This window comes from Homo sapiens, chromosome 10 (genome assembly GCF_000001405.40).
Source record: "Homo sapiens chromosome 10, GRCh38.p14 Primary Assembly".
In the NCBI taxonomy this organism is placed as follows: Eukaryota; Metazoa; Chordata; class Mammalia; order Primates; family Hominidae; genus Homo; species Homo sapiens.
In genome coordinates, this window is record NC_000010.11 from 32,316,437 (window position 1) to 32,343,517 (window position 27,081).

The 27,081-nt window shown below is 38.4% G+C and overlaps 1 protein-coding gene across 13 annotated transcripts in view, besides 2 other annotated features; it reads right to left on the bottom strand.

Annotated features, from left to right (window-relative positions):
* The window catches only part of EPC1 (enhancer of polycomb 1), a 111,019-nt gene that overhangs the window by 48,686 nt on the left and 35,252 nt on the right, over window positions 1-27,081 (bottom strand). The window lies entirely within an intron of this gene.
* Window positions 1,383-1,442: an enhancer, noted in NCBI's record as "active region_3245". NCBI's record gives its function as "activates an Ori minimal core promoter by ATAC-STARR-seq in GM12878 lymphoblastoid cells {active_cell/tissue: GM12878}" and the evidence as "EXISTENCE:reporter gene assay evidence [ECO:0000049][PMID:35858748]".
* Window positions 15,961-16,100: a silencer, noted in NCBI's record as "silent region_2285". NCBI's record gives its function as "represses an Ori minimal core promoter by ATAC-STARR-seq in GM12878 lymphoblastoid cells {active_cell/tissue: GM12878}" and the evidence as "EXISTENCE:reporter gene assay evidence [ECO:0000049][PMID:35858748]".

Consider the following 27,081-nt stretch of genomic DNA (forward strand, 5'->3'; position numbering starts at 1 on the left):
GACAGATGAACAAACTGTGGTAAAGCCATACAGCAGACTACTACTCAGCAATAAAAAGGAATAAACTATTTATACATGCAACAACATGGGTAAATCTCAAAAACACCATAGGGAGTAAAAATAGCTTCGCACAAAGTACATCAATGAAGTTCTCAACTGGCAAAAATAATCTATGACAGAAAAAAATATCATAACAGTAGTTCCCTCTGGGAAGTGGAGGCAGGGACCGAGAAGGGGAATGAAAGAGTTTTCTGGAATGATGGTAATGTTCTCTATCTTGATGGGGGGCTGAGTTATGTAAATATATGAATATGACAAAATTTAGCCAATATCCACTATTTGTGAATCTCACTGCATGTCAATTTTGACTCAAATGAAAGCAACAGTAAACAAATAGTGAACTCTAATGAATGATATGCATACTGAAGTATTTAGGAAAACATGCACTCATGTGTAATTTACTTTAAATGCCTTTAAAAAATAAGATGAATGGAGAGATGAATACATGGGTGATAAAATAAATAATAACATGGAAGAATCTAGCTAGTGGTATATTATGGGTAAATTCTCATTGTAAATTGTTAAAACTTTTACTGAATGTTTGAAAATGTTCACTGTAAAATCTTGCTGAACCCCAGAACACTGTGTTCCCCAACTCTGTTTTATTTTTCCCTAGCACTTGTGACTTCCTTATAGACCACTTGACAGTTTCTTCTCACCAGAATATAAGATCCTTGAAGGTAGGAGTGAGATTTTTTTGCTTTGCTTTATCCCAGGTCTACAATCACGCCTAAAGCATGTAAGTATCCAATAAATACTTATTTAATAAATAAATGAGCCAATGAATTATACCAGTTATTTAAGGTCCACAAACTATTACCATTTGGAATAGATTTCATAAAGAAACAAAGATAACATTTCATAAAAGCAAAGAAAAAATTAAACCTGTAATCCCAGCACTTTGGGATGCTGAGGCAGGTGGATCACTTGAGGTCAGGAGTTCGAGATCAGCCTGACCAACATAGGGAAACCCTGTCTCTACTAAAAATAAAAAAATTAGCCGGGTGTGGTGGCACATGGCTGTAATCCCAACTACTTGGGAGGCTGAGGAAGGAGACTTGCTTGAGCCTGGGAGGTGGAGGTTGTAGTGAGCCAAGATCGTGCCACTGCACTCCAGCCTGGGTGACAGAGCAAGACTCTGTCTCAAAAAAAGAAAAGAAAAAATTAAAATGAACACATTTTACTTTTGTATCTGAAATACTTGTGGTAATAGTTTAAGGACAGATAGTATCTGGCAAGGAAAAGAGCAATTTAATATCTATTATATTTCACAAGAAATAAATGATACAAGGTTATTACTCTCTACCTATCCTCTTGCTTAAAGCTCAGTAATCAATTTCTAGAATACAAAAAGGAAGACCTTTACAGATAAAATAGTCCAGTTCTGTTATTTCTCTTCAGTGTGAAACATTTGCCAATTTACTACTTTCCTTATAAAATCAACAGGATGTAAAGTCAAGTGACTGAGTAGCACAATAACAGGTGGCCCAGACATGAAGTTTCATTCTGATTCTGTCCTCTCATGTCCTTATTTGTACCCCTAGCATCCGTTTAGGCTTAGGTCGTTTATGCTGTACATATTAAGAGCCTACATGCCCAGTGTGATGTGTGACAATGTAAGCGGGAAGGGAATAAAATTAGAGTCTCTTTCTACGCTTAGAAAAGCCGCAATCTAATTGAATCATTTCCCCAAAATTAAATTTTAAAAGGCTCTCCCAAACTGTTATTTTTTGTTGTAATCTTTATGCTGATGATTTCTATGCCTCCAAAACAGCCCCGAGAGCAGTAAAATACAGATACAAATGTGTCTGTTTTTTTCTAAAATGCCCTACAGCAGCAGCAATGAACTAATTTAAATCTGTCTAAAAGTGCTTATATAATCAATAACACAAACTAAATCTGTCCCACTGCTTAGTCCTTAGCCCTTGTATATACGCACCCTTGCAATTTCATCCAGTATCATGGCTTCAACTACCATTTGGATGCTGGTGATTATTCTAAATCTTAACTTCTAGCTCAGAATTCTGAACTCTAGACATGTATATAAAGACCTTACTATATGTTCCACAGACATCTCTCACATAACATCGACACCCCTGCTCCATGACTCTCCAAATCTGTTCCTCCTCCTGACCTACGTCAGCAAGTTTCACTGTCATCTATCCAGTCACCCAAGTCAGAAGCCTCAATGTTTCCAGCTCCCTTTTGCTTCTTATTTCCCCATTTCCAAATCAGGCACAGATTTCTCATTGGTTTTATGACTAGAAATTACTCAATACTCTCCATCCCACGGCCACAGTTCGTGCAGCAAGTGGCCTTCTAACCTCTAGTATTACATTACTCTCCACTGGTCTTTCTAAGAGTTTGACCAAGTCAACTCTCACACTTCATCTTTGGGTCTTTATTTGCCTCCCTGGTGAAATTCAAACTTGCCTTGGGAAACAGGTCCTCATGACCTAGCTCTAGCTAATTCCTCCAGTTCAACACCTGACCACTTTCTCCCCTGAATTTCCTAATCCACCTAGAATAAGCATCTAATAGAACTTTCTAGTAACATCTATATGTACTGTTCCCTGCCTCTAACTCCATCTATAACTCTTCTCCCTTCTTTATAATTCTACTAGGATGTCTACCCCGCTTTTGGAAAGTCTTCCACAATGATTATGTAATACTATGGTAACATAAAAAACAGGCAGAAGTGACTTAAAAATGCCTATCTCCATAAAGATTCAACTGAAGTCTTTACAAAGTTGAAAACTGAGCAAGTCAGAATCTGGAAAAAAATTCTTGATAGAGATTCCATGACCCCTGAACAACCTGCCTCACACATACTGGAAGTGGCAGAAGATAAGAAAGTAACAAGAAGGATGTAGATTCCCCACAGATTGCTTATTTGTTGTAAGGGAAATATAGTAACTATACTGTGGAGAAACTGGACCATACTTTCACCAGATGGTGAAAATTACCATTACCAGTGAGGTGCAGATGCATCTGTGTGCCTCCAGATGTGATGTCATGGGGACACGATATCCCTTATGTGACATTTCAGCTGGAAATGCAAAACTTCAATATGAGAAAACATCAGACAAACCTAAAATGGGGTCACTCTATTAAAAAAAGTCAAAACTGTATTCTTCAAAAATGTCTACGTCATAAAAGATGAAAACATCTATGAAAAGATGTATATTTTTTTCTTTGAGACAGAGTCTTGCTCTGTCACCTGGGCTGGAAGTGCAGTGGCGCAATCTCGGCTCACTGCAACCCCCACCTCCTGGGTTCAAGCGACTCTCCTGCCTCAGCTCCCGAGTAGTTGGGGTTTACAGGCGCATACCACCAAACCTGGCTAATTTTTTTGTATTTTTAGTAGAGACAGAGTTTCACCATTTTGGCCAGGCTGGTCTCGAACTCCTGACCTCAGGTTATCTGCCCACCTTGGCCTCCCAAAGTGCTGGGATTACAGGTGTGAGCCACCGTGCCCAGCCGACATCCATGAAACTATTTAGGGGTAAAGTGCCACGATGTAGGCAACTTAAATGGTTTGGGAAAAACATATGTGTGTACATATGAGAAAGAGAATAAAGCAAATAGGGCAAAGTGTTAACACGTCTGGGTAAAGGGTAGAGAATGCTCTATGTACTTACTACTCCCCTTCTTGCAACTTTTCTGTAAGTAAAATTACTTCCAAATAATGGTTGTTTTTTTTTTTTAAATAAAGCTAAGAGCAAAAGGACTTTTTTTTTAAAAAGTACAATCTGTACAAGAGATTCAAGTACTGCTTCCAGAACTGTTACCAAGTACCTGCATAATCCTTACAAGTCAGTGAAAGTCTCTTTCTTAAATTCCCTTTCTTAATTTCTTAATTTCTCTATTTAAACTAGTTTCAGAATACTGTTCTCTGAAAAGCAGTTCCAGCAATATCATTAAGTGTTATGTGAGGAGTTCTGTGATTAAATAATTTTGGGATATGCACAGAGGCAGGGATAAGCTATGCTGAACAACGTCTTTACAGAAGAATCCTCACAGATTTTATGTATGCCAAAATCCATTATGATCTTCCAAATTAATAATACAGAATTCAACATTTCTTAATTAGTCATTTGACCTTTTTCTTTTTTTTTGAGACAGTCTTGCTCTGTTGCCCCTGCTGGAGTGCAGTGGTGTGATCTCAGCTCACTGCAACCTCTGCTTCCTGGGCTCAAGTGATTCACCTGCCTCAGCCTCCCAAGTAGCTTGGATTACAGGCATGCACCACCACGCCCAGCTAATTTTCAGTAGAGACAGGATTTCACTGTGTTGGCCAGGCTGGTCTCCAACTCCTGGACTCAAGTGAACCACCTGCCTCAGCCTCCCAAAGTACTGGGATTACAGGCGTGAGCCACCACACCCGGCTTTTGACCACTGTTCATGTGAGTTCTTTAAATGTTTGGTGGGACCTGATCTTTAATTTATAGTACCATTCTCCTCCACAATATATGTCATCAATTTTGGGAAACATCATCTTGTAACTCCATTCACTGTCCAACTCATAATGAGGTCTTTTTCAGTTAGTTTATTTTTTTTAAGGGGGCTGTATTTTGACTATGAAATCTCAAAATGGAACTACCTTTAATGGTTAAAGACAAAGATTAGAGGTTAAACTATAGTGTGGGGCCAAATCTAGCCCACCACCTGTTTTTCTAAATAATTATATTGGAACATAGCCACACTCATTGGTCTGCATATCATTCCACAGCTGCTTTTGCCCTTCACCAAGAGAGTTGAGTAGTGATGACACAGACTGTAGGGCCAGCGAATCTTAAAATATTTACTATCTGATTCTTTACGGGAAAAGTTTGCAGATCTTTAATATAGATCTGTTTTTTTTTCAGAGATGGGGTCTTGCTATATTGCCCAGGCTGGAGTGCAGTGGCTATTAACAAGCACAAACGGCACTTTACAGCCCCAAAATCCTGGACAAGTGATCCTCCTGCCTCTGCCTCCTAAGTAGCTGGTGCTACAGGTGCAACCACCACACCCCGCTTAGATCCATTTAATTTTTGAGGTTCAGCAGACTAGTTGTGGTAAGGTAGATCAGTGGCAGAGACTAAAGAATGCTCTACTATTTACATAGTGAAAATGACTGAGAGAAGAGGGAAGTAATATTAAGTAAAAAAAAAAACCGTATCACTATGTTCAGACCCTTTATTAGATACTTCATGTTCACTCTGAAGACTGATTAAGTCACTTGTCCGAAGTGGCGGAAGTAGGATTTGGACTGAGGTCTGACTCCAGAACCCTATGATCTTTCTACTGTAGCTTAATTCTCCCTTCTTGTCTTCTTCTGCCTTCCCCATCTATGGCTGGGTTCTGGTTGGTACTCAGGGGAAGATTCAGAATACTAAGAGAGAAGCAAAAAGGACTTTAAATGGCTGAAGAGATGATCAACAGCATCCTAGGTATAAGGATTATTAGAATGCTACAACCAGTCCACCTAAGGAAGTAAGAGCAGGTTTCTTAGCTTCGCTTACAGGATTCTCCTTAGAGTACTTCTACTTGATTTTAGCTCCTAAGACTTAACTGCTGCTAATGTCCAGGCATCCTAGATATGAAGGACAGAGCTGAGGAAGATGAAGTCACAAGAAAGCCAAGACCAGGTACAGATGCTTCCCTATGCCATTCTTAATCACGCATTAGCCTTACATGTATCGCAGTTCGCAGTAAAAAGTCTGTTTTATCTTGCTTAATATACACAAAAATAGAAAACTATTAAAATTTGTTAGTTCTTCCTCTGGATTTCTAACACTTTGCTTCTATCTTTGACACATTTACTATACCATATATGGAAACAAAATAATATAATCTTTTTACAGAAAGTAATGAGAAATGAGTTTACTTATAAGGAATCAGCTTAGTACTTTATTATTACTATAAAAGCTACCATAAAAGAAGTCAGAAGATAACTAAATTATTTACCATCCAGAGAGAGGAGGATTTATGTGATGAACTAAATAGGTTGAAACAAAGTATCAAGTAGACTAAATTTGACCATGCACTGTTCTTCTATCAAAAATAACAGATTTATCTATGGTTGGTTTCTTGCCAGTCAATGTAGCACTTAGCTGTTGTTACACTTACTTTATTACATACATTGTTTTACTTATCTAAAATATAAACCTTTAGGATTTCTATGAATGCTGACATTTGTGCATGTTTAAGATGACTCTCAAATACTATAATGTGGCTAGTATGAGAAATGATAGTTCTCATCAATATGTGGGAGCTAAAAAAACAAACCAAAACAAAAAACTGAACTCATGGAGACAGAGAATAAAGTGATGGTTACCAAAGGCTGGGAAGGGTAGTGGGGAGGGAGGGATAAAGAAGGGATGATTAACGGGTACAAAAACACAGTTAGATGGAATAAGATGTAGGGTTTGGCAGCACAATAAAGAGACCATTTTTTTTAAAAAAACCATGATTTATTGTATATTTCAAAACAACTAAATGAGTGGAACTGGAATGTTCCTAACACAAATAAATGATAAATGCTTGAGGTGATGTATACTCAAATTACCCTGATTTGATCATTACACATTGTATGCTTGTATCAAAATATCACATGTACCCTGTAAATATGTACTATTATGTATCCATAATTTTTTTAAAAAGAGAAGTATATACAATGTACTTCTTCTTATTCACTTCAGACTAAAACTAAAAATAATCTTACAGGTTTTTCTTCCTTTTCACCGAGTCCCTAAGTTTCGCCAAAACCACAAAATCCCCCCCAGTGTAATTTCTGATATTTGTAATAGAAGTAGTGTCTTCCTGGACTGGTTAAAAAATAAAAGGGACTTTGACAATCTCAAAACTTTCTTGTTCAAATATGTGTATTTTATGTTTGTTCAAGCTTACCCCCTTTTATTTATAATTACCACAGCAGTATTTCATAATTTCTAATTTAATATTATTTGATACCATAAATTCTTTTCTTCTATATTGTATAACATGGTGTAAGGAAACAAAGTTTCTGATTTCATTAGATGAGTCTTATCAAATAGGAAGGTATCTAAGTATATAAAAGATATGATACTATTCAACAGCACACAATGATCAGAAATCTGAATTGGAATTCCAAGTCTGCTGTTTACTAATTGTGACTTGACTTTTCTAAACCAAATTTCCTTATTAGTAAAATCACGTAATTGCCATTATAAGAAAAAACTGAAACAACAAATGGACATAAACCTCTTAGCATGGTCCCTAGCATACACATATTAGCTCTCTGACTAATGAAATCAACCTGTTTCTTTACTGATAAAGCACAGAAAATGCCACCTAACTTCAAATGTTGCCATGAGGATTAAATAAACATACGTCCATAAAGTCCTGGTGCATTTATTATTCTAATAGGCAAATTATAATAATTAATGGCCTAAATTGTTATTAGAAATAGTTTATTTTATTTTTATTTTTTTGAGACAGAGTCTCGCTCTGTCGCCCAGGCTGGAGAGCAGTGGCGCGATCTCGGCTCACTGCAAGCTCCGCCTCCTAGGTTCACGTCATTCTCCTGCTTCAGCCTCCCAAGTGGCTGGGACTACAGGCGCCCGCCACCACGCCTGGCTAATTTTTTTGTATTTTTTAGTAAAAACAGGGTTTCACCATGTTAGCCAGGATGGTCTGGACCTCCTAACCTCGTGATCCGCCCACCTCAGCCTCCCAAAGTGCTGGGATTACAGGCGTGAGCCACTGCGCCCGGCCTAGTTATTCTTTAATAAATAAGCTTAATAGTTACTCTAGGCTGGGCATGTGGTTCACGCCTGTAATCCCAGCACTTTGGGAGGCCAAGGCGGGTGGATCGCCTGAGGTCAGGAGTTCCAGACCAGCCTGGCCAACGTAGTGAAACCCGTCTCTGCGTGGTGGCGGGTGCCTATAATCCCAGCTACTCAGGAGGCTGAGGCAGAAGAATCGCTTGAACTCGAGATGCCAGGCTGCAGTGAGCCGAGATTGTGCCACTGCAATCCAGCCTGGGCTACAGAGTGAGACACTCTGTCTCAAAAAAGACAAAAAAAAAAAAAGTTACTCTAATAAATCTTACTCTTATTTACTTAATAAATAAGTAGATAAATTTTTAAAACTTTAGTTCCAAATTTACCTTGTGTTTTCTTAAAAGATATTCTTTCTCCTACTAATCTTAAAAAACAAACAAACAAACAAACAAACAAGAACACATTTTAGCCGGGCGCGGTGGCTCAAGACTGTAATCCCAGCACTTTGGGAGGCCGAGGTCGGCGGATCACGAGGTCAGGAGATTGAGACCATCCTGGCTAACACGGTGAAACCCCGTCTCCACGAAAAATACAAAAAATTAGCTGGGCGTGGTGGCTGGAGCCTGTAGTCCCAGCCACTTGCGAGGCTGAGGCAGGAAAATGGCAAACCTGCAGAACCCAGGTAACTGACGTTGCAGTGAGCAGAGATCCTGCCACTGCTCTCCAGCCAGGGCGACAGAGTGAGACTCTGTCTCAAAAGAAAAATAAATAAATAAAAATAAATAAATAAAACCTTGAATTAATTTTTAGCTGCAGACTGTCACTGTTAACAAAACAAGTGTCAACCTATGAACATAATCAATTCTCACTGTAGAACTTAAGGACGTTTTATGATAAATTCAAGCACTATACTATATTGAGTATAGTCAGAAACTTCAACTTGTACAAGAGAATGAGATCTCTCTACACACTGTAAAACACAAAACAAAATTAAAAAAGAAAAGTGTGTATTACCATCACAGGGAAGCCTTGTTTTTACAGCTTTTCTAATTAATAGCAATAATTCATTTCAAAGATTATTTACAACACATACCTCACCCCACAATGGATATGAGATAACTCACTGGATCATTTTTAAAGCTTAATGCTATGTTAAATAAATCTGGTTTCTTCTTTCCTATGGAAACAAGAGAAAATTCCTAACAACTTTAATTTCCACAGGAAGGGGCTAATGGTTGCAAAACGTGACATAAAAGAAGGAAAATTTTATCTTTTCTTGTAAAGGTTCTGAGGCTAATATAAACATCACACAAATTCCCTTATTTCAGAGTGGAAGGAGATAAAATACATCAAGTAAAGTTTCCAGATAATATTTAAGATGTTCCCTACAAAAATATTAAGTAAACCATACTAAAAGTTTGTATCATGCATTAAATTTGGTTAGAATGAAAGGCTGATTCTTCCAAATGTAGGCAAAAAAAGAGTAATCACAATCTCATTTCAAAGAAGCAAACTGTGGCAGACACTGCCGGTTTTTTGGTGTTTTTTTTTTAACTCTATAAAGGCAAATTAACTTTTTCCAGTGATAAATGGTAGCAGAGGACTGGTGTTACAACACTTGTACTTAATTAGGAATTTATTTCAGTCTGACAATATCAACTACAGTATGCCTTCCAGTAAGTAAATGAGGTCTTTATGTTAAAGTCTGACCAAATCATGGTTAGAATGCAAAACTTACTTTTTAATAGTAGGAAGAAGGATAAAGACCTTAAACTCAGGACAGATGAAACATGGCTTGATGAATTTATACCTCTTATCTGTCTTCTCAAAGATCTCCAAAAAACAAAAGTACAGTTAACACACTGCAAGGAGTTGTAGGACAGAACCTACAATATCCCTACTTCCTTATCCTTCCTCTTCCAATACACAAAAACGAATACTGAAAGGGTTAAGTCTTTAGAGTTGTTCATCAAAATTTCTGGTATGATTGTACTTTCTGGCTGTCGTGTGGCTGGGAGGGGTTAGGTGCCTAATTCTGGCCAATTGTAAGTCAAAGTGACCTATATGACTTCTGAACCATGGCATTTAACTGTCAGTGAAAGATGTGAAATCTTTCAATGCACTCTTCCACCTGTCGCCAGGCTTGAGATGTTTACTGCTGTATCACCCTGGTTCCCCTGCTGATCCAGGACAATGATCCAAAATGTGACAAGAATAAGAAAAAAAACTTTGCGTATTTTATGCCACTAAGATTTTGAGGTTCTTGGTTATCACAGCATATCCTAGTCCATCCTAACAAATATAAATTGGTACCTGGAGATAGGGTACTATTATAACAAAAAAAACTAAAATATATGCCACTGGCTTGAAGGCCAGGCAGCAAGGAAACTTCTCAGAGGCTAGAAGGATGGCAATCCTTAACAAGCAGTACAAAATATTTGGTAAAAGTCAGTTATAATAACTTGAAAAGCAGATAATGTATTTAATAAACCTACAGCTCTAGAGGAAGAGGTTAAAAAAACTGGACATTTCCTAACAGGTATAGGAAAAAATGCTCATCATGACTAACCATCAGGAAAATGCAAATCGACACCACAATAAAATTTCACCTCACTCAAGTGAGAACGTCTATTAGAAAGACAAAAAGTAACAAATGCTGGTGAGGATGCAGAGAAAAAAAGAACTCTCACACACTGTCAGTGGGAACGTAAATCAGTACAGCCATTACAGAAAACAGCATGGAGAGGGTCCTCAAAAAAAAAAAAAAAAAAAAATCAATGTAAATTACCATCAATAGATGAATGAAGAAAATGTGGTGACACACACACACACACACACACACACACTCACAATGGAATAATATTCAGCTACAAAAAAGGATGAAATTCTGTCATTTGCTACAACACAGATGAGCCTAGGAGATACTATGTTAAAGTGAGATAAACCAGACATAGAAAGATAAATATCACATGATCTCATTCATATGTGAAATCTCAACAAAACAAAACAACAACTCATAGAAGTTGAGGGAAGAACAGTGTTTTCCAGAGACTGGGGATATCAGGAGGGACGGGAAACAGGAAGAAGTTGGTCAAGGGGTACAATTTACAGTCAGATAGGAGTAAGTTCTGGTACTCTATTGGACAGTAGAGTGACTATTGCTAACGACAGCACATTATATGTTTCAAAATAGCCAGAAGAAAGGATTGTGAGTGTTCTCACAACAAAGAAATGATAAATGCTTAAGGTCATGGCTATGTTAATTGCCATGATCTGGTCATTACACAGTGTACACATGTATAGAACATTACTCCATAAATATAGCCAAGTGTTGCTTAATAATGGGAATGTGTTCTGAGAAATGCATCATTAGGTGACTGTATCATGCAAACACTATAGATTTTACTTAAAACTTAGATGGTGTAGCTTACTACATACCTAGGCTATATGGTATAGCTTACAGACTACTAACCTGTATCGTATGTTACTGTACTGATTACTGTAGGGAGTTGTAACACAAAAAAGTATTTGTGGATCTAAGCATATCTAAACATGGAAAAGGTACAGTAAGAATATGGTATTATAACTTTGGGGGACACCAGAGTCATGTCTGTGATCTGTTGACTGAAACGTCACTATGCAGAACATAAATGTATGTATGATCACTACGTGCCAATTTTAAAAACCCTAACATTAAAATGGTATGTTGGTTGTTTTGACTGTGTTTGGTATTGCAAGAAAGAAACAAATTTTAAAATTGACCAGAGTTTGTAAGCAGGAATAAAAGGAAGAGGGCCCCAAAATGGGGAGGCTTGCACAGTTGGAAGAAAAGATTTCTCAACCCCAAGCCATAAGTTTAAAAACCACCAAAGGCTTTGAGCAACAAAGGAAGAGTATCAAATCAAATCAAGAGTATGAGCATCATATTCACTGTTAAAACATCTGAACGGGTTAAAGAGAAGAGTCTCAGAGCAGAGATCCAATTAAAATTGTGACACCCAATTAATGCTCTCAGTTGAATAAAATGCTCTGAGGAAAAGAAAAAGACACATAAATACACACACACAGAGCCCAACAGGTTACCGGTAGCAGCGTTTATAAGACATACATCTGGTAAAGAACACTGGCATATGAGCTGAATGGAAACGTGTTTTTAGACACATTACAAGCTTGCACAGTTGTGCTACCAACAAACAACCCAGAGCCTGAATTAAAAACCTGATTTAAAAGTATGCTTAAGTCTCCAACTTTCTATAGGAAGCAGGTTGTCAAGGGTTTTAGCTCCCAATGAGGGCATATTTTCCAATGACTACTTCAGATGAGGCTAAGGAAGATGATGGAAAAGGAGGAATCAATCTCCTAGATATCAGTGCCAACAGCCACAAAAAACAATGGCCTGGGGAGTTCCCCACCAGGGAGCAGACCTAGTGCTGAAACCAGCACACTCTCCATATCTAGGGTAAGCCAGCCCTTGTCACACGGGGCTGTGGGGGGATTTCTGAATGGCGGTGGGATGGGGACTGCAGTGCTCCTCTAATGTTCTGTTATACACATGGAAGTGCTTATTGGGGTTATCCTGTCCCTGTTATTTCAACGTATATTGGGTGTGGCAGGAAGGTGGTTGCAGGTAACATTTTTGTTCACAGTTCTCCAGGTCAAGGAAACACATACAGGTCTGATATACAGAATTATGCGTATCACCTGGAAACTCTTAAGTTTGATGCAATCATTACTTGGGACTTCTGAGCTGGCTTCGCCGGGGGAGAGGAGTGTATTTTCTCTGTGAGAAGAAGGGTAAGCCAAACCTTGGCCTACTTGTTAATGTGGTTGTTTCTGCCTTTTGGTCATATGACAAGATTGTACCTCCTGGCTCCTTTATGATTAGATGCAGCTATGTTTCTTGTTCTGGCCAATGAGCTGTGAGCAAAAGTGGCATGTAACTTCTGGCCAGAGCATCTTAACAGCTGATGCAAAGACAGACATTTCCAGCGCTCTCTTTCCTCCACTGCAGTGTACACAATGTTCAGGATAAAGGCTGCTCTGCCTGTCTGCATCCTGGAGTGAGGCCACATAGTACAGAACCCCCAAATCAACCCAATGGATAGTGCAATGCTAAAAACAGAACTTTGTTGCAAAGCCACTAAGATTTTGGGATTGTTATGTTTATAGCCCAACCATACCTATCCTAATAAATGGAGGGAAACCCTTAAACTCAATTGAACATTCAAGTAAGAGGCAAGCACACAGATAATCTATTTCAAGTTTTCTCTATTAATGATAAAAATGAGGGCTAGCAGTTAAGCTACTTGTCTAATCACATAGTAACCACAGGGTAGACTCTGCTGGAACCATCATTATCTTCATATAACTCTAAATTACAATAGGAGTTATGTCCCTTCTAATCTCTAAACATAGCTCTGGGATAGACTAAACTAGAAACACATGAATAAATTAACAATAAGCCAATCCAGTCATTTATTAAAAAAATTACAGAGGCATTAAGCTCCAATGCTAGAGGTACTTGGAGCTTAAGAGTCATGTGGTGAGACTATAACCAAATAACTACATAAATAAAATGGAAATTTACAGCAGTAATTGCCATGAAAGATGATATTATGAGAGCCTGTGACAGTCCTGTCATAATGAGTGGATACCTAAGGAAGTGACCTTGAGCTGAGATCTGAAGGATCTGTGGGAGATTACTAAACCAACCCACAGGGGAATGGTGTTTCAGTGCATGAGAATAAATGAGAAATGATTCTGTGGCTGAAGTGAATTTGAAGGCTTTGGAGGTACTAAAAGGACATAGGAGCCAGATTACATAAAGCCTAGTATATAATGCCACTTTGAAAACAATGGGAACTCTTCATAGGTTTTTAGCAAGAGTGACACAATGAGATTTCCTTTTTCAAAGGGCCACTGGTTGTATTAAGAATACTGGGGAGGCAGCAATTATAGTCTTGGGAGGACCAGTGAGGAAGCTACTTAAATTTAGGCAAGAGATGGCAATACCTTGAATTATGGAAGTAGCAATAGAGACAATAACATCTGAAATATTTGGAACTTATTTTAAACTTTTGCTAGCCTGTCTACACCTTCATCCTAGTTCTCCAATTTCTCCACTGGATTCACGGTCAGTCTGAATACATTAAGCTGAGTGGAAGGGCAGCCCACACCCATTTGTTACAGCTAGCTTACAGAAAACAGCATTTACATCACAAGTATGCCTTTCCAACAGCCCCAGCAATCGTTTTAGAAGACACACATGTATTAGGGATGGGTGGTCATCTTGTTTCATGCCACTTTATTTAGTAATCAAACACACTGGATTATATTCCATTATTTCCCAATTGATAAGGTAGGCTGCTTAGTGAAAAATCCTGGATCCAAATCTTAGAAATCCCAGATTTTATTCAAATTTAAGATTCCAGAAAGGATTTAAGGTAGTTAGGCCCCCAAATAAAGGAACATTATTATAGGTATTAATTGGTTTCTTGCTAATGATACAAAGTACTACGCATCCTTGAGAAATAGTTTTAGATATGAACAAGAATTAAGGTTCAACTGAGAAATTTTATGGGAAAAAAACCCCAGTCATAAAAATATAAAGGCCAGAAAAAAAAGCATCTCCAAAAAAGCGGAACAAAATGTTTGCTCCATCACTACAAAAGTTAGAATGTCTGATCTCGTGTGTATTGTACAAAATCACAGTGTAAAAGTTCGAACGTAAGATGAAATAAAACTTAATGAATGCTTTAAAATAGTGTAGAGAAAATTCCAAGACAAATGAATCAAGGTATATTATTTTTTCTGTATATTTCAGGGTATACAGAAAAAAAGACTGCTATTTTCTTTTAAATTGCATTACAAAGAAACATTCACAAAGGGAAAAAATCCATATAGAAGTCTCATATTTAGTGTCAAGATTCCATTATGGTAAATGAAAAGGAAACTTTAATTAACTGGGCATGGTGGTGGGTGCCTGTAATTCCAGCTACTTGGGAGGCTGAGGCAGGAGAAGTGCTTGAACCCGGGAGGCAGAGGTTGCAGTGAGCCAAGATAGCACCATTGCACTCCAGCCTGGGCAAAAACAGCAAAACTCCATCTCAAAAGAAAAAAAAAAAAGAAAAGAAAACTTTAAGGCAGGTAATATGGTAACTACAACTAAAATCTTCATTTTCAAAACTTTCAGATTAGAGAGAAGAAATTTTAATATACAAAAGTTTATAGAGTAAAATAACTGGTTTTGATTTTATATCATCTATCGTACTTACATTTACTTCAAATGAAAAAAAAATAGATGACTTCTCCAGAACTTAATATTACAAGTTGGTTTACGCAGTTTTATTAGACTTAGAGATAACATATAAACTATCCAAAGTAAAAATAAGTATTTTAATATTTACAACAGGGACTTTAAAAAAGACTACCTCAGATTGTTTTATTTACCATGTGAATTATAAGTCCCTTCAAGATAAGACATGTTTGTAAATTCTACAGTATTTAGCATTATACTTTGTAAACATAAGTTTATAAGTGTTTGATGAGTAAGTCATCTCATAAGTCAACATGATGTACAAGTAGCCTAAGCACAGCATTTCACAAAACATTTTGGGGGAGGCCTTAACATTTTCTCTGGCTTAAAATTTTGGTTTATTAAAATGTCTCATGTCCTTCCCATAAAGCACAGCTTAAATCTTACTTTATTAGTCTCATTCCAAAAGCTCAAAGGCAGAAAAACACAAAACAGGTATCTGATTGCCATTTTAGAATACAAAGTTATCATTGACTACCTAGATTTTTCCAGAACTATTTAAACACTAATTCAAGAAACACTTGTGCTAGTGCAATATTACGCCTTTAAGATAAAATAGTTTTTGCTTTCAAAGGGTTTGTTGCAAAGGAAACAATCATAAATGAATCTGTTTTCCAAAAGTGCTGTGTTAGGGCTTGGAAAGGCTTCATAACAGTTGACAGCAAACAGGTTTGTTGAACAGATAGAGGAAAGGAAAAGCATTTGGGGTAAAGGACAGTATAAGTAAAGGCAGAAGTAAGAGACAGCATGGCCCACTGAGAGAGCATGAAGCACAGTATAGTTCAGTTCACTGAGCAGAGGGCTTGTGGTAGCCAGCCTGCAGGATGACTGGTGTTCATACCCTTGGGTAGTCCCCTCCCACAGTGAACAAGGGTTGGTCTGTGTGACCAACAGCACATGGCAGAAGTGATAGTACGTCACTTCTAAGATTGGGTGATAAAAGACTTGCGTGCTGTCTTACCACTTGGTACACACTCTCTCGAGTCATTTGTTCTGTGAAGACACACAGGTAGTAGAGAGAACTGGGACAGAAGCCTCCAGCCAACAATGTGAGCAAGACTGGAAGCAGGGCTGCAGCTGACTGCAATCCTGAACAGCTTTTATGCAGACACAGGTCAGAACCACCCAACAGATGTTGCCCCTGGATTCCTGATCCTCATAAACTGTAAGATTACAAATGTTTGTTGTTTTAAACTGCTACATTTAGGGTAATTAGTTACATAGTAATAGATAAGTAATACATGTTGATACTGGGAGTCCTCACTGCTATAACAGAACACTGCAATGTTGGATTGGCTTTGGAAACAGACCATGGCTCTTAAGGATAGTTTAGTTAAGAAGCTGTTTTTAAAAAGTCTCATGGTATTTCATAAGGCTACAAGGAGAATAGAAAAGTGAGGTAGATGTTATTGGAAACTAGAAGAGGAGGTATCCTTCCTAGGAAGGGGCAGGAGGCTTAGTAACACTGTGACCTTTGGTCATATAAAAACCAGAAATTTTGGCTGGGCGCGGTGGCTCACGCCTGTAATCCCAGCACTTTTGGGAGGCCAAGGTGGGTGGATCACAAGGTCAGGAGATCTAGACCATCCTGGCTAACATGGCGAAACCCCGTCTCTACTAAAAATACAAATTTAGCCGGGCATGGTGGCGTGCGCCTGTAGTCCCAGCTACTCAGGAGGTTGAGGCAGGAGAATCGCTTGAACCTGGGAGGCGGAGGTTGCAGTGAGCCGAGATCGTGCCACAGCCTGGGCGACAGAGTGAGACTTCGTCTCAAAAACAAACAAACAACAACAAAAATCCCCCACAAAAACCTGGAAATTTTATGTAATGAACTGAGTGATTTAGCAAAGGAGAGTTTCAACTAGAAAGTGCTGCCTTGCTGTTTCTGCTATATACAGCAAAAAATGAGAAGATATAAATTAAATCAAGACCTCTTGAAGAGCAAGGACTTGATGGTTTAGAAAATTTGCAGTCTCTTTAGACTGCAAACAATGCTAACATTGAGAAATGCATTCTGAGCCAAGATCAAATCCAGGGCACTGCCAGAAAAACATGATCTAAAAACTAAGCCATGGGAGTAACTATAAAATCTTCTGTTAAGAGCTCAGAAATACCAAAGACAGTACCTCAGAATACTACTTTGTCAGACAAAAGCCCTGCTAGAATTTTGCACTTCACAGTGTATCTCAGTCAGACAATAAGGCTTTACGAGAAGGGTGTTGTCTCTCAGTAAAAGCTCAAGGTAGTAACGGGCGTATCTCAAATAAATTTGTGCATATGATTTTCAACTAATAGATTGACCCCAAAAGGATTCACAAAAGATGCACAAAGTTTTAAAAAATACTTACATATGGTGAAACACTGCCAGCTTGAACTGAAAGAGACAACAGATGGAAAATGAAGCCTTCAGAGGCCCCAAATTGTGGTAGAAAGCAAGATAAGAAAACTAGTCAGTTGCAAACAAACATGTACTACCTTTCATGGGGAAAGGCGACTGTGGAGAAACAACCACATGCCCAAAGGGCAAAGCTGAGAGCAGGGGTGAATTACACCTAGGAATTGAGACTCACCTAAGGATTGGCTGATTGGATTTCAGAATTGTTACAGACCAGGGATTCCCTTGTGCCTACTATCTCTTGGCACCCGCCCCCCGCTTTGATAGGAATGTTTTATAGAGGTTACCTTAAGCCTGACCCAATACTGTATATTTGGCAAGTGTCTGGAGAAAGGATGAGGACCAGGTAACATATCGCTTTGGCTTTACAGGTCAGCAGGAATTGTACTTGAGAAGCTGTACTTAAGGAACATCCAAGAAGTCCCAACTGTACCTGAATCTAACTTAGATGAGATTCTAGACTTTGAGCTGTGATAGGATAAGACTTTTGAATATAACAGCTAAAAAAAAAAAAAAAAATCACACTTTATACAGGTATATGCTATTGACTCATATACCACAAATGGTGATGTCAATGAAGTGACTTTCGAACAATAAGAACTCCTGCAAAAGTTCTGAACAAAAAAAGTACAACATCCTCTTTATACACTAGCTGCTTTTCTGGAAAGTCTACTGTATATTAAAACTGTACACTTCACATGTAAAATTAAATTAGGTCCTAGACTCAGATAATTTATAAATTGTAATTTTATCTGCTGGAATGTTCTCTGGGATAGTCAAAAGTCATCCTGTGAGACTGTGTTTTGTAAGGTGGGGTTTATGTCATTACTAGGCCCCCTCTTATTTTTAATTAATATCAACAGCATCTCCCAATAACTGACAATCCAAAGCACCCCCACAAATTTCCAGAATGTCTCCATAGTGGGAGAATGATACAGCCCTTGTTGAGAACCACTGCAAAGGAAGGAGAAGTCTGAGATACTCAATACAACCCTTAAAGGTCCATTTTCTGAGCCCTGAAACAACCGTGCTGTACAAAAATCCTTCATTGTGAAGATATTTATACAATTGTGCAGCAGGAATGATAGGTACTCCTTGGAGTTCAAGCGGTCATCACTTTCTACTTAGTGGAGCTGCCCTTCCTTGAGGCTATCATACCACTTCTAGCTGCAAGAATGGTCCTCTACAGTTTAGAATATCTAGCAGGAGGGTTATCTTGTATTGTTTGCTCACTTGAGGTTGGCTGGATAAATCCCATCATTCTTTGTAACCATTATCAACAGAGTCCAAGACATAACAGTACCACCCTGGCTCTCATCACCATTCTAATCTCAGTGTCTCCTAATCTGTCCCAATCTTCCACCCTTCCTGACTGTCTCAAAGTCTTCCACTCTGTTGTCTAGACTAAAGATGTATCAGCAAACTCTTCTTTACATTCATTCTCAACTTCTTTCAGTGATCCCTCATCTTGCCCTAACTGAAGCCTGGCAGTGTATTCCAGAAACAATACTCCCCATCGCCCTTTCAAGCAGAAGCTGTTTATTTTCCCATATGCCACAGACTTGTGGATGGCATACACACCCACTCTCCTTGCTTCCCATTGCCAGTTCTATCCCATTTCTTCTTTGTTGTCCCTTCAAAAAAACACAACCACTCAGAAGTTCACAGCATCACTCTCTCCCTAAAGCTGTCATATACACTCTTTAAGTCACAGTCACAGTGCTGTTTTCTCAACTACCACACTTCTGGCATCATTTTTAATGACAGAATTTACATGGATAATGATGAAATAGCATGACCTTCTCGCCCACGCTGATCTTTTCCTCTACTCCATCTCAGCCACCACTCCTATGGTTATACTCTAGATTTTGCGTTCACTAATAATTGTGCCACCTCTGAAGTTTAAACTCAAGCGTGTCCCTCTTTAGCCACCACCCTCCCGACTTGGTTTCACTCACTCAAGCACTCCCAATGTAACAAATCAATTCCACAGAGCCTTCCATCCCAATTGAGTCCTACCACTTTTCTACCATTCATCAGCTCCCGGATGTCTTCTTTCCCTGCTTACCCAGCTTAGATTCCATGGTCCATCATGATAATCTACTACCTTTTCTTTTTTTTTTTTTTTTTTGAGACGGAGTTTTGCTCTTATTGTCCAGGCTGGAGTGCAATGGCACGATCTCGGCTCACTGCAACTCCCACCTCCCAGGTTCAAGCAATTCTCCTGCATCAGCCTCTGGAGTAGCTGGGATTACAGGCGTCTGCCGCCATGTCCAGTTAATTTTTGTTATTTTTAGTAGAGACTGGGTTTCACCATGTTGGCCAGGCTGGTCTCGAACTCCTGAGCTCGTGATCCACCTGCCTCGGCTTCTCAAAGTGCTGGGATTACAGGTGTGAGCCACCGTGCCCGGCCTACTACCTAATTTTTAATGCCTTCATCCCTGTCTTCCTCCTTTCTACTTGCTGGCCAAACATTGACCCTTGACAAACCCTATCTACCTACTTTGTGCTGGAACTCAAGTGAATGCTACTGCCCAAGTGAGCTGACTGGTCTCACTTTAAATGATCACAAATATTGAGCCCTCAGCAAGTCTATCAATCCTTTTACATTTTTCTAAGTTAGCTCTCCTATACCTACCTCATCTCTGAAGGTTCTCCCTCACTCTTGAGGTGATGACCTCACTCATACCTCATAGAGAAAATACAACCATAGGATAAACTACCTCATCCTGTCATAATCAACTCTTAACGACTGACATGCATCTTTTCTCATTTATCTGCCTTCCTTTCACAAAGGAAAAAAAAAAGTTCCTGTTGGAATTAGTAACCAATATCTCCATTAAATGGATCCAGGAGAGACATAAAATAGTTATTAGGAGTGAAGTCCTTGAGTAGGAGAGAGGATGGGATTATTTCATACTTTTCAAATGAAATAATTCTACAAGTTCTAGTAATTCTTGCTTTTATTTGTAGCTTTAACATTTTAATCTAATTTGATTACCTGGGTTATTTCTATGTCTCTGTTAATTTTTTCCCTAATTATGGGCCATATTTTCCAGCTTCTTTAAATGCCTGATAATTTTTTATTGGATGCTAAACACTGAGCTTTATGTTGCAGGATCTCTAAATATTCCTTTAAACATTTTTGGCCTTTGTTCTGGGACACAATCAAGTTACTTGAAATTTAGTTTGATTCTTTTGAGGCTAGTACTCAATCTTTGTTAGGGCAAGTCCAGAACAGTCTTTAGAACTAATCTGGCCTCGGCCTCACTACTGAGACAATAACCCTTCTGAGGGTTCTACTTGATACGCTGTGTATTGAGGCCTTTCCATTCTGGTTAGTGGGAATGTGTAGCACAGTCTCAGCCCTATGAGCTTCCCAAACTGTTCTTTCTTTCCTCTTGCTTTTCCCTAGACTTGGAAGTTCCTCATGGACAGGATCAGATCAGTTTTCAGCTAGACACTCGAAGGGACACCCTGTGAATATCTGGAGCTCTTTTTCTGTGCAGCCCTGGTACTCTGCTCCAAAGTCACTTAGGCCTCCCCACACTCTGAATTCTGTTTCTTCAACTGAAGGAGCTGCCACATCTGTTTGGAATTTCCCATCCCTGTGCTGCAATCTGAAAACTCTCAAGGCAGTGAAGTGGGTCAATCTAGGGCTCAGCTTCATTTGTTTCCTTCATTTGTGCCTGATGGAACTTTGTAACTAATTTTTAAAAGAAATCATTTGCTGATCTGGGAGCCTCCTCCAGCTACTCCAGCCCTGTTTTTTTCTCTCTTTCATAGCAGAGCTATTCCAAAGAGTTGACTATACTTGCTATGTCCCCTTTTTCATCTTCTATTATTTCTTCTACTCCAGCTGGGCTTTCCTTCTCACCACTCCACCAAAACATGCCAATGGCACATATCTAATTAAATTACTTTCCCATACTTTCATCTTCTCAGTGGACATAGTTAACCAATGTCCTTCCTTCTTGAGATGCTTTTATTCTAAAAATGAAGAAAATCTTTTCAGTAGCTCCTCCTCTGAGTCCCAGAGCACAGCATTCCATGCGATTCATAAGCTGAAGACTCTCAGATTTATAGGACCAACTCATGACTTCCAAATTATACACTTCTAGCACAAACTGCTCTAATGTGCATATTCTCACATATCCAATCAGGACGAAAGAGGCACATTTCAAACTGAACAAGTCCATCCCTTCTACATCCCCCACCCCTAACTGTCCCTTCCCTGTAAGAGGCCCACTCATCTATCCAGCTGCTCAACTTGGAGGTTCATCCTCGGATTCTCTCTCTCCATCTAGTACATTCAAATCCACCAGCAAGTTCTGTTGGTTCTGGCTCCTCAAAATATATCTCAAATCCATCCATTTCTCTTCATTTCCACTAGCACCAACCCTACTTAAAGCCACCATCATCACTCTTGCCCAGTATGACTCATTCTCCACATGGTAGCCAGAATAATCTTGAAAAACCATTAAATCAGATCATGTCACTCCCTTAAACTCGCTAATAGCTTACTTCATTTCAACACAGTCAAAACTTCTCATGGTAGCCTAACAATCCCTTCCTGATCTGGATCGTGAGTACGTATGTGTCCTCATCTCCTAATCTACAACCCCCTGCTCACTCTGCTCTGAGTACAATGGCCTCCTGTTTCAGCTCAGGCTCTGTGCACCTGTAGGTCTCTCTGGATTATTCCTCATGCAGATCTTCCCACGGCTCATTACCACCACTCAAGTTTCAGGCCACATGTTTCCTAACCACCTACCCAAAGAAAATTATCCTTCTCCTTCTAACTAAAATTCTGTAGTATCTTGTTCCACTGCCACATAAGAACATATGGTGGCATCCTCCTGGAGTTTCAGCTACTCAGGAGGCTGAGGTGGGAGGAGCCTGGAGCCCAGGAGGCTGAGGCTGCAATGAGCCGAGATCACACCACTACACTCCAGCCTGGGCAACAGAGGGAGACCTTGTCTCAAAAAAAATAAATAAATAAATAAATAAAATAATAAAAATAATAATAAATTCTGGCTCTAATCTCAAATTCTCATGACAATAAAAGTTATTTTCTGACTACTGCATCCAATTACATCTTTAAATCCTTTAGAGACTGGCTTTTAGAACTTGACCCTTCTTAAACTGGAACCAACTATCCATGCACCTTTACTTCCATGCAAATTATGTCTACATAATATGCAAATGAGATTAACTCAAGATTTAATGACTATTCTCTAAACACATAAAATTCTTTTGGAAACAGATTTAAATATAATGGCAACAGAATATTCTCATTACAACAGGAAACTACCATAGGCCTACTGCATCTTACAGTCAAGAAAACCTGGGGCATGTGGAAGCAGAGCTAGAGGCTAGAGTAAGGCCTTACATCTAGTAACTCCGAGTTTGATGCTTTTTCCTATTAATAATTACCTAAATTAGCTGGGCATGGTGGCACACACCTGTAGCCCCAGCTACTCAGGAGGCTGAGGCACGAGAATCGCTTGAATCTGGGAGGTGGAGGTGGCAATGAGCCGAGATCATGCCACTGCACTCCAGCCTGGGTGACAGAGTGAACTCTCTCTCAATAGTAATAATAATAATAACAACCTAAGTTAAAATACATAGTTTTTCACAATCATATCATACAACTCTCTAAGGACACAAAATACATCTAACACTTTTATGTCACACAATCCCAAATACAAAATATAATGTTAAGTATCTTCTGAGAACAAAAAGCAAGGCCGTTCTAAAAATTCTATTAGTGTTTGGTAATAATGAAATTCATCTGTACATGATTTTTCATACACTGCCTTATTCACTCCTCAGAGCTATTTTGTAAGGTAGCTCAGAAGACTTAAGAAATGCAGAGACTAAAGTTCTTTCAGTGACGTTAAGTGACTTGTCAATGGATACAAAATCAAGGTAGGGAAAGTTTCCTTAGGATACACAATTGCTATTTGGATGCTCAGAGGATATACAATTGCTACATTATCAAAATAGTTCATCCCAATATATAAAAAGATTAGAACCTATATTAAATCATTCACAGGACATTTTAAACCTCAGGTCATGTTTGCCCCTAGATTCACTCTAAGGTCACATCCAATTTCTTCAGTCAGTACTTGCTATACTGAGGGAAATTCAACCAAAACGATTTGCTTAAATAATCTGCTTTGCAATTCAGCAAGTGATTATCACAACACATATCCAAAAACTGAACCAAAACTTTAAAGATAACCTCCATTACAACAAATACTTGAGGGAGGGCTTTATCTTTTAAAAAATTGATTGTATCTGCATTGATCAAAGCTACACCTCAGATAACATATTATAGTAGATGTAATAAGTACAGCAAGTTTGCTTTTGTTTTTCATATACCTATTACAGCAGGGTTGGTAGATGGAATTCACTTCATATATTTAAAGGTGCAAAGTTGAGTGTCCACTATATTTAAAATACTGTAAGAACTCAAAATCACTACCTATTATTACAGGATTTAATACACCTAATCAAGAAAGATTTTCTACAGTTTATAAATGTGTTGAAGGCAACAGTTAGCATCAATAAATTAAAAGCAATTCTAGGGCCAGGTGCAGTGGTTCTCGCCTATAATCTCAGCACTTTGGGAGACCAAGGTGGGTGGATCACTTGAGCCCAAGAGTTTGAGAACAGCCCAGGCAACATGGTGAATATTTAAAAATAAAAATAGAAAAAATTAGGCGTGGTGGTGTGTACCTGTAGTCTCAGCTACTTGTAAGGCTGAGGTGAGAGGACTGCTTGAGCTAGGGAGGTTGAGGCTGCAGCTGCAGTGAGCTATGATCGTGTCACTGCTCTCCAGCCTGGGTGACAGAGCAAGACTTTGACTCAAAAAAAAACCCGCAATTCTAGCAAGTTGTTTAAAACATTTGAATCCCTTGTCTTCTCATTGATTTCTCAGAATTTGGTTTATTCTTACCAAAAAGTTATTGTTATCAATGCAAGTCACACTTCAGTGTTCCAAAAGTCTACTTTAAAAGTAAATACATACTCTAGTTGTCTCTGAAAGTATGTCATACTTTCATATCACTTTTGCCCTTAGACACGCTCAATTCTTTTTATTCCTGAATTACAATATAAAATTCTCATTTCCTTGTGCATCTCTTCTTCTAAGAAGTACAATCACAAATGATACAATTCCATGGTATTATTGCTCCCTTAAAATGCTATCTTCTGCTTTTAACTAACTGCTGTTAACAATTAAGCATCCTTAACTTTTCAAGAAAATTGAGTAATAAATGTAATCAGAAATCACATCTTTACATACATAAAAAGGACTCTTGCCATTACTAAGTGCTTTAAAACATGGACACATGTCTGTGTGTGTGTGTCTGTGTGTGTGTATAGATTCTATGTTTCTACCATTACTACCAGTACATACCATGACACAGTAGAATGCAAAATATAAAACTAAAACCCAGCCATTTTTAACAGGATTGGTTGGTATATTTAATCCTGCCCACACATTCATGAACCTTTATGCAGAATTTTTTCTCTCGTTTACAAAATTTAAGCTACACTGTAGGCAGTACTTTTAATTAAGTCCTATTAACAGAAAAAAATGTAATTCAGTACAAATGCCATTGCTGATCATGAAAAGCACCCACAAAATACCATTAGATACATAAACACATTCAAATGGTATACTGAAACAAAAGTTAATACTAACATTTCAGGTGCATAGGCATGTAAAGTGTTCAAAAGGTCCCTTCTGTATTCAAGAATCCTTAGTCTCTTCCTGGACTGCCTGTCCTTTTTCAATTATCCTCCTTTGACTAAGTCTATTTAGTAACTGCCAAACTGAGATAAAACCAAAATGACTCAGTTTGAAATTTATGGAACAGCTGATCTTAACCCCTGGGCTTTCTGCCCCAGCCCATTACCGATACTTTGAGAAATTGATGACAAGTGTGAACCTTCTCCCTAGAAAAATATATTCTAACATTTTATAGGCATATGGTGGGAATCCATCACTTCCAGAATTATTTCCACATAATCCTCAGAACCCTAGCTTAGCAACTTTATGCAAAAATACCTTTGGACAGTATAGAAAGCTGAAACATTTTATTAATTCTCTTTGATTTTATCTGAAGTAATTGTAATCTAATGCAAAAATCCCCATACTCTCAATTCTTTTCTAATTCAAACTATCTGTAATTAGTTTGTTAAACTTTGCTTCTACTATAATTGAGATTTCATGTATTTCTCTTCACTTCCAAGAGAGTGGATAGAATGGAGAAATCTAGATTGATCTTTACAGCTCCAGATAAAGGGACTAAAAATATTGGTTTAAAATATTAAAGGTTAAAGAAAGAGACTGTTGGTTTCTTTCAAAGTGATTTAAATTTAAACTAGGTTTTTATTACTAAGTTTTGGAAATGGGGTAACCATTTTTTTCTCATATCAAGGATATGTACATATTTCCCATTTCCCCATAATTAAAAACAAACAACTCCCATCCACTTCTTATAAATAGTTCTTAACTTGGGCTTAGTAACAATGTATATTGTGCCAGTAATACAGAAAAGGTGGGAGTATAAAGACCATCCTGTCCTGTTAGAATCCTATAGAACCAAGGTGCTGGATTATGGTGGTTAGATCCTACTTGTAACAGTTTCAAAGGTGACTGTAGGGTAGTATCAATATGAAAACATCATTAACATCTTAATTACACCAAATCTCCTCCCCAAACCAGTCTAGGTAACAGGAGAGGAAAGGTTAAGTTGCCACCCCCTCATAAATGGAACAACGCACCCTAGACAACCCAATGAAAAGTTAAACTACTGTGGAACAGTAGCTCCATTTTGCTAAACATCATTTTAAAATCGACTTTTTAAAAGTGATGTTTCCATAAAGGAGAATTGTTAACAACATAAAGCTCCAATTTTAATCAAGAGTCAATTTTAATAAAAAGATTTGATAGTATTAATCCATTTGGTAAGTTTAACCTTTCAATAGAATGCGAAGCCGTAGCACAAGATTTAAGATTATAAAGATAATTAAATTATAATCTTAAAGTTAACATTGTAAAATATTCATAATAGGACATATGCCCCACACCAACCAAGCACTTGTTTAAACTTTTATCTTTTTTTAAACCCCAAAGGGACTCAATTATCTCAGAGCTGAAAGTCTATTATTTCGCTGTGATTTAAGTCACATCTGTACTTCATTAAATACATTGTTTTCATCATCCGTTACTTTATTTTTAATTAAATTATTTTTTCTGAAACGAGTTTCGCTCTTCTTGCACAGGCTGTGAGTGCAGTGGGGGGATCTCAGCTCTCTGCAACTTCCACCTCCCGGGTTCAAGCGATTCTCCTGCCTCAGCCTCCCGAATAGCTGGGATTACAGGCAGCTGCCACCACGGCTGGCTAATTTTTGTATTTTTAGTAGAGACAGGGTTTCACCATGTTGGCCAGGCTGGTCTCGAACTCCTGACCTCAGGTGATCCACCCGCCTCGGCCTCCCAAAGTGCTGGGATTACAGGCGTGAGCCACCGCATCCTGCCAATCTGT